This window comes from Homo sapiens, chromosome X (genome assembly GCF_000001405.40).
Source record: "Homo sapiens chromosome X, GRCh38.p14 Primary Assembly".
NCBI lineage: Eukaryota > Metazoa > Chordata > Mammalia > Primates > Hominidae > Homo > Homo sapiens.
The window spans coordinates 20,947,771-20,965,364 of record NC_000023.11 but is presented as its reverse complement, the minus strand read 5'-3'; the positions used below and the strand labels follow the sequence as shown (position 1 = coordinate 20,965,364).

General features: G+C 40.5%; 1 long non-coding RNA gene across 1 annotated transcript; it reads left to right on the top strand.

Moving 5' to 3' along the window:
- Nucleotides 1-11,524: 11,524 nt before the first annotated feature.
- On the top strand, nt 11,525-15,815 carry LOC124905258 (uncharacterized). Its single transcript, XR_007068410.1, has 2 exons — nt 11,525-11,859; nt 15,701-15,815. It is a non-coding gene; the product is annotated as an uncharacterized LOC124905258 (long non-coding RNA).
- Nucleotides 15,816-17,594: the final 1,779 nt, after the last annotated feature.

Sequence of the window (17,594 nt, the reverse complement as noted above, 5' to 3'; positions counted from 1 at the left end):
GGCAGAAGGCATAGAGCTGGTGTACTCTGAATTGCTGTGAGACAAGATTGACAAAGGCGTGGGCAAAAAGGGAATAAGGAATGGAACACACAAACTGCACTGGGCTTAAGCGATGGACTATATTGGGTGTGCTGGGCTATGCTTAAGAGAGAAATCATGGAAACACAGGTGAGGTGCTGGAAGCACGTGAGGAGAATGAGGTTATTAAATAAACCAGTTCCTGCTCTTCTGAGTATTTTCTACATCTACGTGTCCTGGTAGAGGCCTCACTAGTTTCATCTATATTTGTAGCCTAGTCTCAACTTTTAGTAAAAACTCTGTTCATGTTTGTTGAATCTGATCTACTCTGCCTGAAGTTAACTGAGTTTATCTTTTTTCTTACTCCTTAAGACAACGGTAATAGTTCCTTAAAACAACAATAATAACAGAACTTAAAACAAATAACAAAGAAAAATAAAACCCATAATTTTTCTTATTATAAGAATCATCCATGCTTACTAGAAAAATTTAGAAAGTAAAATGAGAATATATAGCATCCACAATCAACAACCATTTCTTCTCAGTGATTTTTTTTTCCTAAACATTTTTTGTATAATTAACATTATATAGAATAGATGATTTTATATTGTGACTTTTCATTTAAAGTGACAAAATTTAACTTCTATTATACTTTTTAAACTTTTTTAAAAAAATTTTTGTGAGTACATAGTAGATGTGTGTGTGTGTATATATGTGTTTTATATATGTATATATATACATATATATTTCTGGGTTACATGAGCATGAGATATTTTGACACAGGCATGCAATGCATAATAATCACATCAGGGTAAATGGGTATCCATCACCTCAATTAAATTATATACTCTTTTGGTTATTTTTAAATGTACAACTAAATTATTATTGATTATAGTTACCCTCTTGTGGTTGTAAATAGTAGGTCTTATTCATTCTATCTACTTTTTTGTACACATTAACTATCCACACTCCCCTTCCACTACCCTTCCCAACCTTTGGGAACCATCATTCTACTCTCTATCTCCATGAGGTCACTTTAATTTTTAGCTCCCACATATAAGAGAGAACATGTGAAATTTGTCTTTCTGTGCTTGGCTTATTTCACTTAACATTATGACCTCCAGTTCCATCCAAGTTTTTGCAGATGACAGGATGTCATTCTATTTTATGGCTGAATAGTACCCATTGTATATACGTACATTTTATTTATCCATTCATCTGTTGATGCACACTTAGATTGCTTCCAAATCTTGGCTATTGTGAATAGTGCCACAATAAACATGGGAGTGCAGGTATCTCTTTGATATACCGATTTCCTTTCTTTTGGGTATATATCCAGCAGTGAGATTGATGGATAATATGGTAGCTCTATTTTTAGTTTTTTAAGGAACTTCCAAACTCTTCTTTGCTTTTATTTAATTTCCATTGGCATGGAATATCTTTTTCTATGTCTTTGTTTTCAGTCTGTGTCTTTCTAGGTGAAGTGGTTTTCTTGTAGGCAACAGATCATTGGGTTAGCCACTCTGTCTTTTAATTGGAGAGTTTTGTCTATTTATGTTCAATGTTATTGCTGATAAGTAAGGACTTACTCCTGCCATTTTGTTATTTGTGTTCTGGTTGTTTTGTGCTCTTCTCTTCCTTCTTTCCTTCCTTTCTGTCTTCATTTTATTGAAGGAAACTTTCTCTGGTGGTATGATTTAATTACTTCCTTTTTGTTTTCTGTGTATCTGTTCTGTGTTTTTTGATTTGTGCTTACCATGAAGCTTGCAAATACTATCTTATCACCCATTATTTTAAGCTAATAATAACACTGCATAAACAAATAAGCAAAAAGAAAACCAATAAAAACTCTACACTCTAACTTTCTCCCTCTGCTTTTTAGTATTTTGTTGTTTCTCTTTATATCTTATTGTACTGTCTATGCCTTAAATATTTCTTGTAGTTATTTTTGATTGGTTCATCTTTCAGTGTTTCTACTTAAGATAAGAGTAGTTTACACACCACAGTTACGATGCCATAATATTCTGTGTTTTTCTGTGTACTTACTATTACCAGTGGGTTGTATACCTTTAGATGAATTCTTATTGCTCATTAACATACTTTTCTTTCTGATTGAAGTACTCCCTTTTGCTTTAACTTGTCTGGGAAAGTCTCTATTTCTCCTTTATGTTTGAAGGATATGTTCACTGGATATACTACTGTAGGGTAATAGGCTTTTTTTCCCTTCAGCACTTTAAATATTCCATACCACTCTCCCCTGGTTGGTAAGGATTCTGCTGAAGAGTCTGCTGCCAGAGGTAGTGGAACTCTTTGTGTGTAATTTGTTTCTTTCCTCTTACTGCTTTTAGGATCCTTTCTTTATCCTTGACCTTTGAAAGTTTGATTATTAAATGCCTTGAGGTAGTCTTCTTTGGATTAAATCTGCTTGCTGTTCTATAACCTTCTTGTACTTGGATATCAATATGTTTCCTAGGTTTGGAAAGTTCTCATTATTATCCCTTTGAATAAACTTTCTACTCCTATATCTTTCTCTACCTCCTCTTTAAGGCCAATAACTCTTAGATTTGCCCTTTTGAGACTATTTGCTAGACTTTGCTGGCAAGCCTTTTTTTAAAATTCTTTTTACTTTTGCCTCCTCTGACTGTATATTTTCAAATAGCCTGTCTTCATGCTATTTCTTTCTTCTGCTTGATGAATTCTGCTATTAGAAGACTCTGATGCATTCTTCATCATTGCATTTTTCCACTCTGAAATTTCTGTTTGATTCTTTTTAATTATTTCAAACTCTTTGTTAAATTTATCTGATAGAATTCTGAATTCCTTCTTTGCATTATCTTGAATTTCTTTGAGTTTCATCAAAACAGGTATTTTGAATTCTTTGTCTGAAAGGTCATATATCTCTGTTTCTCCAGGATTGGTCCCTGGTGCTCTATTTAGTTCATTTAGTGATGTCATGTTTTCCTGAATGATCTTGATGGGTGTGGATGTTCTTCGATGTCTGTGAATTGAAGAGTTAGGTATTTATTTTATTCTTTGCAGTCTGGGCTTATTTGTACCCATTCTTCTTGGGAAGGCTTTCCAGATATTCAAAAGGACTTTGGTATTGTGATCTAAGCTGTATCTGCATTAGGGAGCACTACTAGTCCAGTAATACTGTGCTTCTTGCAGACTCATATAGGGACCACCTTGATGGTCTTGGATAAGATCCAGAAGATTTACCTGGATTACCAGGGAGAGACTTTTGTTCCCTTTCCTTACTTTCTTCCAGACATACAGATTCTCTCTCTCTTTGTGCTAAGCTGCCTGGAGCTGGAAGGAGGGGGAGAGAACACCAAGACTGGGACTGCACTGGGTTAGACCTGAAGGCACCACAGCATTAGGCCCCACCCAAGGCCTGCTTCAACCACTACCTGCCTATCACCTATGTTCACTCAAGGCCCTTAAGAGTCTACAATTAGCAGATTGTGAAGCCAGCCATAATTGTGTCCTTCCTTTCCAGGAAGCAAGTTCCCTCAGGCCCTGGGTGGAGCTGGAATAAAAAACCTTAGAAATCTACCTGGTGTTCTATTCTACTGTGGCTGACAGGGCACTCAAACCATGAGACACAGTCCTTCCAACTATTCTCTCCCCTTTTTATAAACAGAGGAACCTCAACCCATGGCCACCACCACCACCACCACCACAGGCCCACAGGAAGTACTGCCAGGCTACTGCTGATGTTAACTTGAGGCCCAAGGGCTCTTCAATCAGTTTGTGGTGAATGCTGCCAGGCCCGGGCCTCACCCTTCAGGGCAGTGGGCTACCCTCTGGCCCAGGGCAGGTCCAGAAATTCTGTTCAGGTGCCAAGGCCTAGAATTGGGAACCCCCAGATCTTGCTCAGTACTCTACCTCACTGTAAGTCAAATTGTTACCTAAGGTGCAAGAAAAGTTTCCTTTACTTTTCCCTCTGCTTTTCTCATGCAGAGGGAGTATCTCACCATAGCCACCATATCTGGGAATGTGCTGAGTCTCACCTGAACTCAGCACGTCTCAGAGTCTCACCCAAGGCTCATGGCTTACTACCTGGGTATTGCTGGTGGTTATTCAAGGCCAAACATCTCTTTAGTCAGCAGATGATTGGTCCTGCCACAACTGGGTCCTTCCTTTCAAGATAGTGGGTTCCCTTCTGGCCCAGGATGTGTCTGGGAATGTTGTCCAGGAGCTGGGACCTGGAATGGGGGCCTCATGACTTTTACTAATGCTCTATCCTACTATGGCTGAGCTGGCTTTCAAGATACAAGACAAAATCCTCTCTTCTCTCTCCTCTCATCAAGTGGAAGGAAGGGGTTTCTTTTTGAGTCACAAGCTATGCAGCCTGGGGTTGGGGAGGGGTGGTACATGCACTCCCTTATCCTCCCCAGCTGGTGTCTCAGTAGGTTATATGCCCCTCAATTCCAGTGGTTCCAAGCTCAGCTCAGCGCTAAGACTCACCTAGGAGTTGCACTCCTTGTGGCCTAGACTGCCTTTCACATTTAAGAACACTTTGTCCCATGGTGGGAAGTCTTGCTGGAACTCAAGTTCTGACTGCTGGGATGTGTGATTCCACTCTAGTTTGGGCTAGTCTATACGCTCCCTCCATGGGCAGGCATCATCTGAGTTTAGCATGGTTTTACTTTTAGTTGTGACAGGGTAACACTGAGTTCAATGCAAAGTCTTACAATTACTGCTCTCTGCCTCTCCCAAACACAAATATTCTTTCTCCATGCCACACAGCTACTGCCAGGGGATGGGGGACAGGTGAAATCAGTGATTCAAGACTGTCTTTCCTATCCTCTTCAGTGCCTCTTTCAGTGATATAAAGTTAAATCTAGGCACTATGAGTGCTCACCTGATTTTTGGTTCTTATGAAGGTACTTTTTCATGTAGATAGTTGTTAAATTTGGTGTTCTTGCATGGGCGACACTTGGTAGAGCCTTCTATTTGGCCATCTTGCTCCACTCTTCGATTTCTATTTTATGAATGCATCATAATTTACTTAATAACTCCCCTGCTGTTGTCTATTTCTAATGTTCCTTATTATATGAGTATTTTTCTAATGACAATTACTATGTAATAATTTTTCCCCATATTTTTGGATAGTTTTCTGACAAGAGATTTCTGAGACAGACATTGCTAAGAATAAAAACATAAACATTTAAGGAATAAAAATGTAAAAAATACAATAGAAATATAAACACATGTAAATATTCATACATGTCACTAAATTGCTTTCTAAGAAACTAATGATATTAATTTCTACTGTCATTGGAAGGCACCATATGTACTGAAATAAGAACTGTTGGTTGGAATGGTCTACCATATTTAATTGTGTGTTATCTTGGCTGTGAGGGAAGGCTGAATGACCCAGAAGGTTCCTCCCAACTACAATAGTCACTGATTAGAAATAACTAAACAGCTATCAGAGAACTGGCTATTCAATAATGACCTCCTTATGAAGTTGGAGCCTCAGTTCCCTCTAAGCACTGTACTAGCTGCTGAGGATGAAATCCCTGTTTTTAAAGAGCTTACACTCTAGTGGTAGAAAGGTATTTAAATAGGGAATTTCAATATAATGGTAAATAATAATATCTGGGGCATTTTTAGGGTAGTATGGGAGAGGAGAGACCCTGAAGCAAAGAAAGATGGGGAAAATATTGTAGACAGGGGAATCAGCATTATCAAAGTATTGGTGAAAAGCATAGATTGTATGTATTGTATATGTGTCTACAAGCTATTTGGTTTTATTTAAGGATATAGTATGAAATAAAAGATGCCCGACACTTATATGATAGGCAGAGGCTAGGTCATAGGGGACTTTGTATGCCACACTAAGAAGCCTGAACTTTATTGTATAGGCAGTGAAGAGATATTTAAGGTTTTAAAGAAAGAGAGTGATGAAGCCAGATGTCATGATAGATAACATTTCTCTCTCTCTCTTTCTTTTTTTTTTTTGAGATGGAATCTCACTCTGTCACCCAGGATGGAGTGCAGTGACACGATCTCAGCTCACTGCAACCTCGGTCTCCTGGATTCAAGCGATTCTCCTGCCTCAGGCTCCCAAGTAGCTGGGATTACAGGCGCAAGCTACCACGCCTGGCTAATTTTTGTATTTTTAGTAGAGATGGGGTTTCACCATGTTGGCCAGACTGGTCAAGAACTCCTGACCTCAAGTAATCCACCGACCTCAGCCTCCCAAAGTGCTAGGATTACAGGCGCAAGCCACCACCCGGCCAATAGATAACATTTCTGATTGTGGTGGAAGAATAAATACATTTTTAATGAGGCAAGACTAGAAGCAAGAAGACCTGTTAGGAGACCTTTGTAATATCCAACTGAGAAATAGTAAAAGCTTAAATCAAGGCAGTGGAAGTATGGAGGTATGGAGGGAAAAGGAAAGGCTCAAAAATTATGTTGAATATCAATTTGGCAGAAGTTGATAATTACTTGAATGTGGGGGCTGATGGAAAGAAAACAACTGCATAAAAGTCAAGATAATAAAAGTTGCCAGAAATCAGAGCTCAACAGGTTAACTGCAAAAGAAAGATTCCAGGGACACAATAGAGAAATGTCTATTTGATTTGGCAACATGGATGTCACTGGTGGATTTTGCATGAGTCCTTTCAGAGGAGTAGCAAAGGAGCAGTAAGTTGAAGAGTGAGTTGAAGGTGAGGAAATATAGACAGTGAATATAAGTGTATTATAGTTATCTCTTAAGAAGCTTGGCTCAAAGGAACAGAGAGAATTAATACAGTTGCCAGAGAGGTGATCTAGAGTCAACAGAACTTTTTTTTCTTTTTAAATTTGGAGGAACTCGAGATTCTTTACAAGCAGGAGAAAAAGGACCACCAAAGAGGGAGAACTTGAAGGTATAGGACAGAAGAGAAAGTTGATGGAACAAGCTATTGGAGTAAATAGAAGAAAGTACGATTGAGATTAAATGTAGAGATGTTGATTTTGTATAGAAAGGGGAGACTCTTTGCCTATAACTGGATAGGAAGAGGGAAACTTGGATGCAGAAGTAAGTTTGTTAGTGGAATCAGGAAGATAAAGTTGTTCATTACTAAACAGTGCAGAGTGTTGCAGAGAGAAAGAGAAAATAATATATGCAAAGACCTGGAGTGAGAGGTGGAGAGAGTATGATGGGTTTGAGTAACTGAAATGAAAATTCAGTAGGACTAGGACATAAATTGAGAGAGGCAGGTAAGAGAAAAGATTAAAAATGAGGACAAAGTGGTAGCTGAGACCAGATCAGGGTGGGTCTTGTAAGCCACATTATGAGTTTGAGCGTCATTTCAAGTGTAGAAGAAAGTTTGTAAAGGTTCGTGTGTGACATGATAAGCTTTGTATTTGGAAGCATCACTTTGGCTGTACTGTGAATAATGGATAGGGAGGCAAGGGATAAGGCAGGGAGAACAATGTGGAAGCTAATAGAGTAGTCCTAGTAATGGATAATAGTGACTGGACTAATGCATTGCCTATGCAATGGAAAGAAACAGATGAAATTGAGAGATTTTTTTAGGAAGTAAGAATTGACAAGTCTTGATGATGGATTGGATATAGAGGAGAGGGAGAGAAAGAAGTCAAGAATAACTCTCAAGTATTCTAGCTTGGGCAACTGAGAGGATGGTGGCACCATTTATTGAGACAAGGAACTGCAGGGGAAGTATATTAACAAGTTAATATTAAGAGGTATATTAACAAGTTCATTTATGGACACATTGAGCTTGAGATGCCTATGAAACATAATATGCTAATTCATTTATTCACCCACTCAATAAATATTTACAGAGCACCTACTATGCCAGGCACTGGGCTATGTCCTGGGAATATAGCAGTGAACAAATTCCAAGACTCATGGAGCTTGTAGTCTAACTTAAATTCAAGTAGTCATGTTGATATTTGAGTGAAGCTAAGGAGAAAGTGTAAGGCTAAGGTACAGAATTGGGAATTTGAGTGAAGCTAAGGAGAAAATGTAAGGCTAAGCTATAGAACTGGGAATATGCATGAAATCACCCAGAGTCACTGGGAAAGGTAAAAATATATGGGGCAGATTAAGGAAGAGGTACTTATAAAGAAAGCTGAGAAGTAGTGACCAGAGGTAGGAAGGCAACAGGAGATGTGGTATTACAGAAACCAAAAGATAAGAGTGGTTCAAGGATAGAGTGGTGAATATTTCTGACGAATTAGCTGAGAATGTCACTGTTCATTGGATTTAGTGACAAGGTGAGCATTGGTTAGCTATGGGGAATATCACTGGAGTAGTATGGGCAGATACTCAATTTCAGTGGGTTTAGGAATGAATAGGAAAGGAAATAAAGAAGGGTTTTGTAGATGTCTCTCAAAAATTTTAGCCAAGAAGAGGGAAAGACATATCAGTAGTAGCTGGGAAAGAAATGTGGGTACCCTGAGTTCAGACTGTGACACTGAAGATACACTCCTTCAGACTTCCAAGTCTGCCCAAGATTTCTGACCCAACTGCAAGGAGTTAGGGTCTGCTATGATTTAAATGTGTTTCCTCCAAAATTCAGGTTTTGTCAATGTGATAGTATTAAGAGGTGATTAGGCCATAAGGGCTCCTCCCTCATGAATACGATTAAGACCCTTATAAAAGAAGTTCCACACAGCATTTGGTTTGCATGTGCTTCCATCTTCTGCCATGTGAGGACACAGCATCCCTACCCTCCAGAGGATGCAGCAACAAGACACATTATTGGAAGCAGAGAGTAGCCCTCACCACATAACTGAACCTGCCAGTACCTTGATTTTAGACTTCCCAGCCTCCAGAACTGTGAGAAATAAATTCATGTTCTTTATAAATTACCCAGTTTATGGTATTCTGTAACACAGAATTATAGTATCACAAATGGACTAAGACAAATTGGTACCAGATGAGTGGGGTGTTGCTATAAAAAATACCTAAAAATGCAGAAGAATCTTTGGAACTGAGTAATGGGTAGAGGATGGAACAGTTTTGAAGTGAATGTTGGAAAAAGTTCGTATAGCTGTGAGCGGATGATTAAGGGTGATTCTGGTGAGACTAAGAAGAGGAGAGCACTAGAAAAAGCCTCAGTATTTTTAGAGATTACTTTAGTGTCCATGAACAGAATGTTGGTAGAAATATGGACAGTGATGAGGTCTCAGACAGAAATGAGAAACAAGGTTTGGAAACTGGAGGAAGGTTCATCCTTGTTATAAAGTGACAAAGAACTTGACTGAGCTGTGTCCATGTACTATAACTTTGTGGAAGGCAGAACTTAAGAGCAATCAACTAGGGTATTTGGTGGAAGAAATCTCTAGGCAACCAAGTACTCAGGGTACTGCATGACTTCTCTTTACTGCTTATAGTAAAATTTAAGATGAGAGAGACAATTTAAAGATGAAATTTATAATCAAAAGGGAAGCAGAACATAAATATTTGGGAAATTCTCAGCCTGGTCATATAAAGAATAAAAAAAGATATTTAGGAGAGAAAATCAAGCATGTGGCCAAGAGACTGTCTCATCGGGAGATTAGTAGGGCCAGAAGGAAGCCAGGTGCTATTCATTAAGACAATGGGAGAGACCCCAGAGGAATTCCAGAGATCTTCAAGGCTGGCATCATGCCAATCACAGGCCCAGAATTCCGGGAGTTTAAGGGCAGAATGGCTTTGAGAGAGGTTCCCAGGGCACCTGCAGGACCTTGGGGCTTGCTGCCCAGGGCTACCTCAAATCTGCGATCCCTGAATTCTGGTGTAGCACTTCTTGGCCACCATAGCTGTGGCTCAGGTGGGCTCAGGTGGGCCCAGGTGGGGCACTCTCTAGAGGGTGCAAGCAGTGAGTCTTGGCATTGTCCACATGGTACTAATTCTTCAGGTGCACAGAGTGCATGAGCTGTGGAGGCAATGCTTCCTCCACCAAGATTTCACAGGATGCCTCAGAGAGCCATCAGAGGCCTGGACTGAGAGCTATCATAGGGGTAGAGGTGTTGAATAAAGCCCCCACTTGGTCAATGACCAGCAGAACTGTGGAACTGGGGCCACTGCAGAGAGCCTCCACTAGGGAAATGCTTAGTGGAGCCATGGGGGCAGGGCTGCCCAAGGACCTTCAAACTATAGAGCCACCAGTGTGCAACACCAGACTGGGAGAACCTCAGGCACCTGACTCCAACCTATGAGATCTGCAGCATGGGCTATGCCCAGCTCTGGGGACACAGCCCCAGCCCAGTGTGTTCAGAATTTTGAGTAAATATCAGATGCTCATAGGGCCTGCCTTGAACAACAAAGGCACTCCTATCATTCTAGAAATTCCAAGGGTTTAGAGGTTACCTCTCAAGAGTCAGGGATGAAGGCCAGACCTCTCTTTGAGAAGTCCAATTTTTTTACTGGACAGTGGATTGAGATTTTTTTTTGTATTTATTTAGTCTTATTTGGTTGACTTGGGTTTGGGCATGCTAAAATGCTAATTGGTAATGGGGAGCTTCAAAGTTGGAGAAAGAGGGCCAAGTTAAGATTCTTGAGAAGAAGGGATGGATCCAGACAACAGGAGCACAAAGGGATTAGCCTCCTGCCACACAACATTAGGGAAAAAGGAAAGGATGAGGATTGATTTGATGACAGAACATGTATGGAAGTCTTGACCAATGGCCTCTAATTTATTTGTGAAGAAGGAAATAAAATCATTTGCTGAGAACAAGGACCCAGGAGAAGGTCAAGAATATGAGGAGAATGGATAATATTGGAACTAGTTGCCACAAACCAGGAAAATCCAGCAAGCCAGGAGAGCTGAGCCAAGAGTCTATTTGATATTTTAACATTGATGACCAAGAATTTATAGTGGCACCAATCTACATGGTTTTATAATAAGTTCAATAACACAGCTCAGGCTTAGAGGATTCTGATGAAAATATTCAGAAATGGCATTCTGCAATGTTCCCAACTACAGGGCAAGGAAAATAAAGTTTCTTATAAAGCAAGGAGGTAAAGGAAGTATCTGGTGACAATTCAGAGGCTACTGGGCACCTCCAAAGGGCACAGCTAAGTGGTTTGGAAGGAGGAGTTGCAACTAGTGCAGGAGAGGAAGTGCAAGACAGTATGTGTAAAGGAGTACAGATGAGAAAGAGGGTCCAGAGAGATTTGCATTTGGGTTCTAAGGTGACAGTATGAGAGGCACGGTAGATTTCATAGTCCTTAACACTGAAAATAAAACTACTGGGCCAAGTTGATGACGTTTATCAGGACTCTCCCTTGTAGTGCTCTGTGCAGTTATAGGTGTCAGTCTTCAGATGGAAGTTCAGCTGTGTCTGGCTCATGGCGCTGAGATTGGGGTAGCAGGGCAGAGGGGAAAGGGGTCTATGATGACAGCTTCTTCACCCAAGTGCAATGAATTAATGTTAGTCACTGTTGTCTTTTTTGTTTTTGTTTTTTTTTTTTTTTTTTGAGGCGGAGTCTCGCTCTTTCGCCCAGGCCGGACTGCAGTGGCGCTATCTCGGCTCACTGCAAGCTCCGCCTCCCGGGTTGACGCCATTCTCCTGCCTCAGCCTCCTGAGTAGTTGGGATTACAGGCGCCCGCCACCGCGCCTGGCTAATTTTTTGTATGTTTAGTAGAGACGGGGTTTCACCGTGTTAGCCAAGATGGTCTCGATCTCCTGACCTCGTGATCCGCCTGCCTCGGCCTCCGGCCTCCCAAAGTGCTGGGATTACAGGCGTGAGCCACCGCGCCCGGCCCTCACTGTTGTCTTTTAAGTAGTGAAACAGGAATGTCTCTCTGATCAGAAAGCACAATTAAGATTCTGCAGAAAAGGAAATCCAGCTCGGTGCCACCAATCTGTACTAGGAATGAAGATTTGGTAAGTACTTTTACAACAGATAATATCCGTGCACTGTCTATGCTCCTGAGACCTTACATATTAATATGCTCTGAACAACTTCCACCTGCCAGTATTCTTGTCTTCATGCCCGAGGGATTTTGCCAGAGGACCACCGGTACTTTCCCACAGCAGGCCATAAGTGCTGGGGAATTCTCAACCTCAAAAGTAGCCCTCAATCAATGACTGACAGAAGTCAGTGTATAAATACCCAAGCCTTGTTTATTCCTGAGTGGAGTTATCTGAAGCATGTATTTTTTACCAGTTCTTAGAGTTTTCCCAGAGGATTAAGCTTCAGTCACTCTGGCAGCAGTCTTAATAATCATGCCCCTTATTGGCTGCCTTTTCTTCCCTCACTTCCCTACTTCCCTGGATGTGTTCCCTGAACCTCCTCGAAAACCATGTACACTGGAATCCTTGTTTTGGGGTCTGCTTTTCAGAGACCCCAAGCTAAGCCAACCTTCTATGAGCCTGTTATTTTGCCTATATTATCTAATTTAATCCTATCAACAACTGTCAGCGATAGATATGATTATTCTCATTTTAGAGATGAAGAAATTAAGGTTCAATATGCTTGGGGAACTTGGCCCAGGTAAAAGTTTTAAATAGCAGAGCTGGGATTTGAACCCACGTTTTATCACTTCTAATCCACAGCACCACAGGGACAGGAGATAGCTATTTAGCATAAGGAGATTTCAGCACAGAAAAACTCTTTATTGCTTTTATTTCCTGTATTTTAGATATGAATATTTTATGCTACTTATTTTGGGGCAATTATTTCTGTTTTGTTTTCTTAGCTTTTGGTAAACTTCCCTTTGAAAATGTTAGTCTTCCTTTCCATTCTAAAGTGGAGGAAAAAAAGGTGTTTTCATTTCATTCTAATTACAATGAGAAGTGAGTGCTCAGCTGCTAGTGTGGCTGTCCCACTCAGCCTGGCAATCATTATTCTGAAGCTCATTATTGCTCAGACCTTAAGGTTTAGTTTTACTAAGGAATCCCATTCATTATCAAGGGCATGCAGCAAAAAATAGATTCTGGAGAGTTAAATATAGAAAGTCCAGGCCATCATTTAGATGTCAGAGTCATAAAGAAAATGACAATGATTTATAGAGTGTCAGAACAGGAAGAAACCTCAAATACCACCCTGTTCACTCCATTTACAGATGAAAGACCTGAGACCCAGAGAGGTTAAATAACATGCCAGTGCCGGAGGTCATAGGAAGGTAGTACAGAATCGGGGCAGAGCCAGATCACCTGAATAAAATGATTTTTCTATCCATGACATCACCGTGACCCAGATTTTATTTTGTCAACTTCCTACTCAAAATTCTCAAGTTGAAACTCTTAAAAAAATGCTTCTAATTGCCAAGTGGGCCGCAGAAATATTGGTCTCTTCTTTTGCTTTGTTCCTAGAGTAGAAACTTAGAAACATCTAAGACGAGTGTGAAATGGGTGATATTTCTCACGTGTCTTTTCTGTTTCTTACTCCTCCCTTTTTTTTTTTTTTTCACCCCCAGAGATTTATTTTCCCTTTCTGGTTGAAGAGTTTAAGCTTCAAGATGTCTATATTGGTTAAATATTGTAGCAGTTTTAGAACATGGCCCCCAAATTCTTTGACATTCCTCACAGAGCAAGTTCTATATCCTCTGCCCTTGACTATGGGCTCTGAGAATTCTGGACTGATAAAATATGGCAGAAGTGAGGCTGAACCAGTTTCTGGGTCCAAGACTTAAGAAATTGGCAGTTTCTACTTTCTATCTCTTAACATGCTCATTTTGGAACCCAGCCACCATGTGTGGGAAAGCCAAGGAGAGGTACATGTGAAGAGGCCCCCAGTGAGCTCAAGCTGGAAGCCAGCACCAACTTGCCAGTCACAAGTGAGCCTTCTTGGAAGTTGAGTCTTCCACATTCCTTCAAGCTGCCCCATGTGGAAGAGGGAGGAGCCTTCCCTGCCGAGCTCTGCCCAAATCCCAGATCTGTGAGCAAATAAATGATTGTTGCTGCAAGCCACTAAGTATTTTTTTTTTTTTTGAGGGCGGTGTTACATAGCAAAAGAAAACTCAAGCAGGTATTTCCACAAAAATGCTACATAACAAACCACGCCCAAAATCGTTTGGCTTTAAACAACAGACATTTGTTCTCACAGATCTTCAGGTCATTTGGAACAGCTCTGTTCTATGTTTGCCTCCTCTGTGGTTTTGGCTGAGGGGTCGCACTACCCAGGAGAAGCCTTTCTTAGGGGATGGCAGAAGTACAAGAGGGCAGGCAAAAGACACAAGGCCCCTTAGGGCCTAGACTCAGAACTGGCTACTCTTGTTTCTGCCAATATGCTATTGGCCAAATCAAGTCACACAGCCCAGCCCAAAGTCAACTGCTGAGGAAATAGACTTGGTCCCTGTAATCAGAGGACCTGCAAAGTCACAAGTCCCACAACAAAGGTGGAAATACAAAAAGAAGTAAAAATTAGTACCAATTGTGCACCCTACCACAGTGTCTGAATAGAACTGAGCAACTTTGGAATAGGCTGAAAATACCTCCTTTTAATTTAATTTAATTTAATTTAATTAATTTATTTTTTTTGAGACGGTGTCTCGCTCTGTTGCCCAGGCTAGAGTGCAGTAGCACTATCTCGGCTCACTGCAACCTCCGCGTCCCAGGTTCAAGCGATTCTCCTGCCTCAGTCTCCTGAGTAGTTGGGATTACAGGTGCATACCACCATGCCCACCTAATTTTTACGATTTTAGTAGACACAGGGTTTCGTGATGTTGGTCAGGCTGGTCTAAGCATTGCTAGATTCTCTGAGATCTACTATCAGGTTGTTTTACTGCTTTTAGCAAATTTAAGAATAAAATGAAAGTAAATTCAAGAAGAAGAAAAAATAGCTTATATGCACAACATTTTTTTTTAACTTTGAGTGGGCTGGGAAAAAAATACTGAACTCAGAAGGAACAGCTACTGGAAAAACAAGACTTTTTCTTTTTCCTGTTTGAACTAAGCTCTATGATATCTGGAGGTGAATAATTTTGCCTTTGTAAAGTAGATTCTTCCAGGGAAGGGGTTTGTAATATTCCCAGTAAAACCATAGGTTTCCCATGAGGGTAAAAATACTATTTTGGGGGAGCAATAGAAAGATATAGTATTCTTCTTTGCCTTTCTATAGATATTGAGGATTAAATTGGGAGGTTAGTTTAGTCTGTGAATGCTTCCTTTTAGATAACCCGATTTGGGGTGATATCAAAAGAAAGCAAACCCTGCTGATGGTGGATTTATTCTGTCAACTTAGCTAACCTGGAACTATGTTTCCCAGAATTCCCTTCTCTCATACTTTTTAGTTCACATAGGTCACAAGAGACATTTTGGGTAAGATTTGCACAGTGGAGTAAAGCAGTGTCCATATTCTTTTTTACACTTGAAAGGACAGTGCACGGCACAGGGTGATGTTGCAGTTCCCACACATTGTCACTGATCTGCTGGCTCGCCCTGTTGGTGTAGGGCAGCAGCTGGTCCCAGAGCTCCTCCAGCTCCTGCCAGATCTTCTAGAGCTTCTCCAAATCCTGGACTACTTTATGCAGCTTCTGGGGCAAAAGTCAGATCTATCTTTCCTCCAACTACAAGTATGTCTTTCCCTTAACTTCTCTGACTCCTGCATCAAATCCATGTTCAGCATTATGAGGAAGGGCATTGAATTCTCCTTCGTGTCACTGCATTATTGAAGTTGGAGGCTTGAGAGAAGTTTGAGACTGGCACACATCCTGGCTTTTCCTCAGATGGGTTCTAGTCCGTCCCTACTTTCTCTTACTTTTTGTCCATCTTTCCTTCCCAGTTACCTGTCCTGCTGACGTCAGACCCAGCACCAGGTGCAGAAGCAACCATCATACAAAAATCAAGCTTCCTTAATTATGTAAGTCAAATTCTTGTAATAAATCCTTTACATATTGCTTATAGTTTTGCTTCTCTAATCAAACCCTAACATATATAAGGATCTTATATAAAATTCAAAATGATTTATCTTTCTAATATTTCTTCCAAATACTCAAATCTTTCAGTCTATAGTGAATGCTTTTCAGATGCCAGGCACTGTGTTAAGCATTAAAGGAAACAAGATGAGTAAGGCAGGTGATGGTTCCTGCCCTGGGAGACTCAGTATCTATATAAGCTGAGCTATGTTAAGAAACCAATAGCCACTGTTAAATACAAAAGATATTACAATTATCCAACTCCTAGAACTAAAATTTATATTCTCAACCCAGGATGCTGTAGTGATTTCTCTGTGACCTGTAATGTCTAGGTACAGTAGGGCTGCTTGATGACATACACGTATGATAGGGAATAGGGTAACATGGCAATTACTTACCATGATACTCCAGTGACATGTCACAGTCTTAAATGGCCTAGCAATGCTGGAACAAATTTTTCCCATGTCCAGGGCATAATGCCAGAACTATATAAAAGTAGTGCTACTAATAAAATAATATAGGTCAAGAGGTTAGAAATCTAGCCTTCTCACTAAAGAAAAGAAAAATGGTTCCCAGGCATCAGGGGTCTGGTGGCAGAGAGGTGGTGTGTGTGTTTGTTTGTGTGCATGTGTGTGCAGGCTTCAAGCTATGGGGAGGTTTAGCACCAAACTTAGTGCCCCTGGGAAGAGGCACAAATAACATATAACTTGCTGGAACAAGATAAGAGGAAACTGTGCGGTGATGCTGTTCCTTGCAACAATGTCTTCTGTGCACATATTTCTAAGTTATGGATGACCTCATAATTGGTTAAATATACTATGGTAAATCCAAGGCCCAAAATACTGTGCAGCTATAAAAAAAGAATAAGGTATGTGTATATGGATTGATGATGGAAAAATCTCTGAAACATGTAAGTGAATCAAGCAAGGGGTCTAGCTGTGTATGCTCTGCTACCATGTGGGTTTGTAAAGGAGTAAAAATATCCTGTGTACGTAGTTGCTTGTATAAGTATGGAATATCTTTGGAAGGATTCAGAAAGAAAACAGTAACATTGGTAAGTTACCTCTGAAGGAGAGGACAGGTAGGCTGAGGGACAGGAATAAGAGGAAGACTTTTCACAAAATACTCTTGTACCTTTTCCATTTTGTGCCATGTAGATGTAGCACTAATTCAAAACACAAATAAATAAAACAAAATGTAAAAGTTAGGGGGAATCTGGTCATGTGAATGTAAAAAGCATTTGGAAGATAACCTACGTGTTCTGGGAGCCCCCAGAGAAAACTGGTGCTCTGAAGGGTGAGAAGGTGCCCATTGGCTCTGCTACTTACTACAGCATTTGTCCAAAGATACCACATTTCCAAGTACAAGAAAATCCAGGTTCAAAAAGTAAGTACCTTGCAAACATATGGTGCCCATCCAGTCTGGGGTGAAGAGATTAAGGGTTATCATTTGCAGTGAAGACCATTACAAATGACCATAGCCACTTATTTGATAGAGCGAATGGGTGCTCTTCTTGACAAACTCCCCAATGTAATGGGGAAACTGGAAGCCCACAAGGTCGTTTTCAAAAATCATTCCATCCATCTACCACATAAACTATCAGAAACAAAACAAAATGAAACAAAACAAAACAAAGCACAACCAAGAATCCAAACATACTGGAGAGAAGCTAAAAGGTGAGTAAGTGCTGAAACAACTGAAAACTCCTGCCTGCTAAGAACTAACAGAGCACTTGTTAACCACCTCGTCAGCACACTCAGT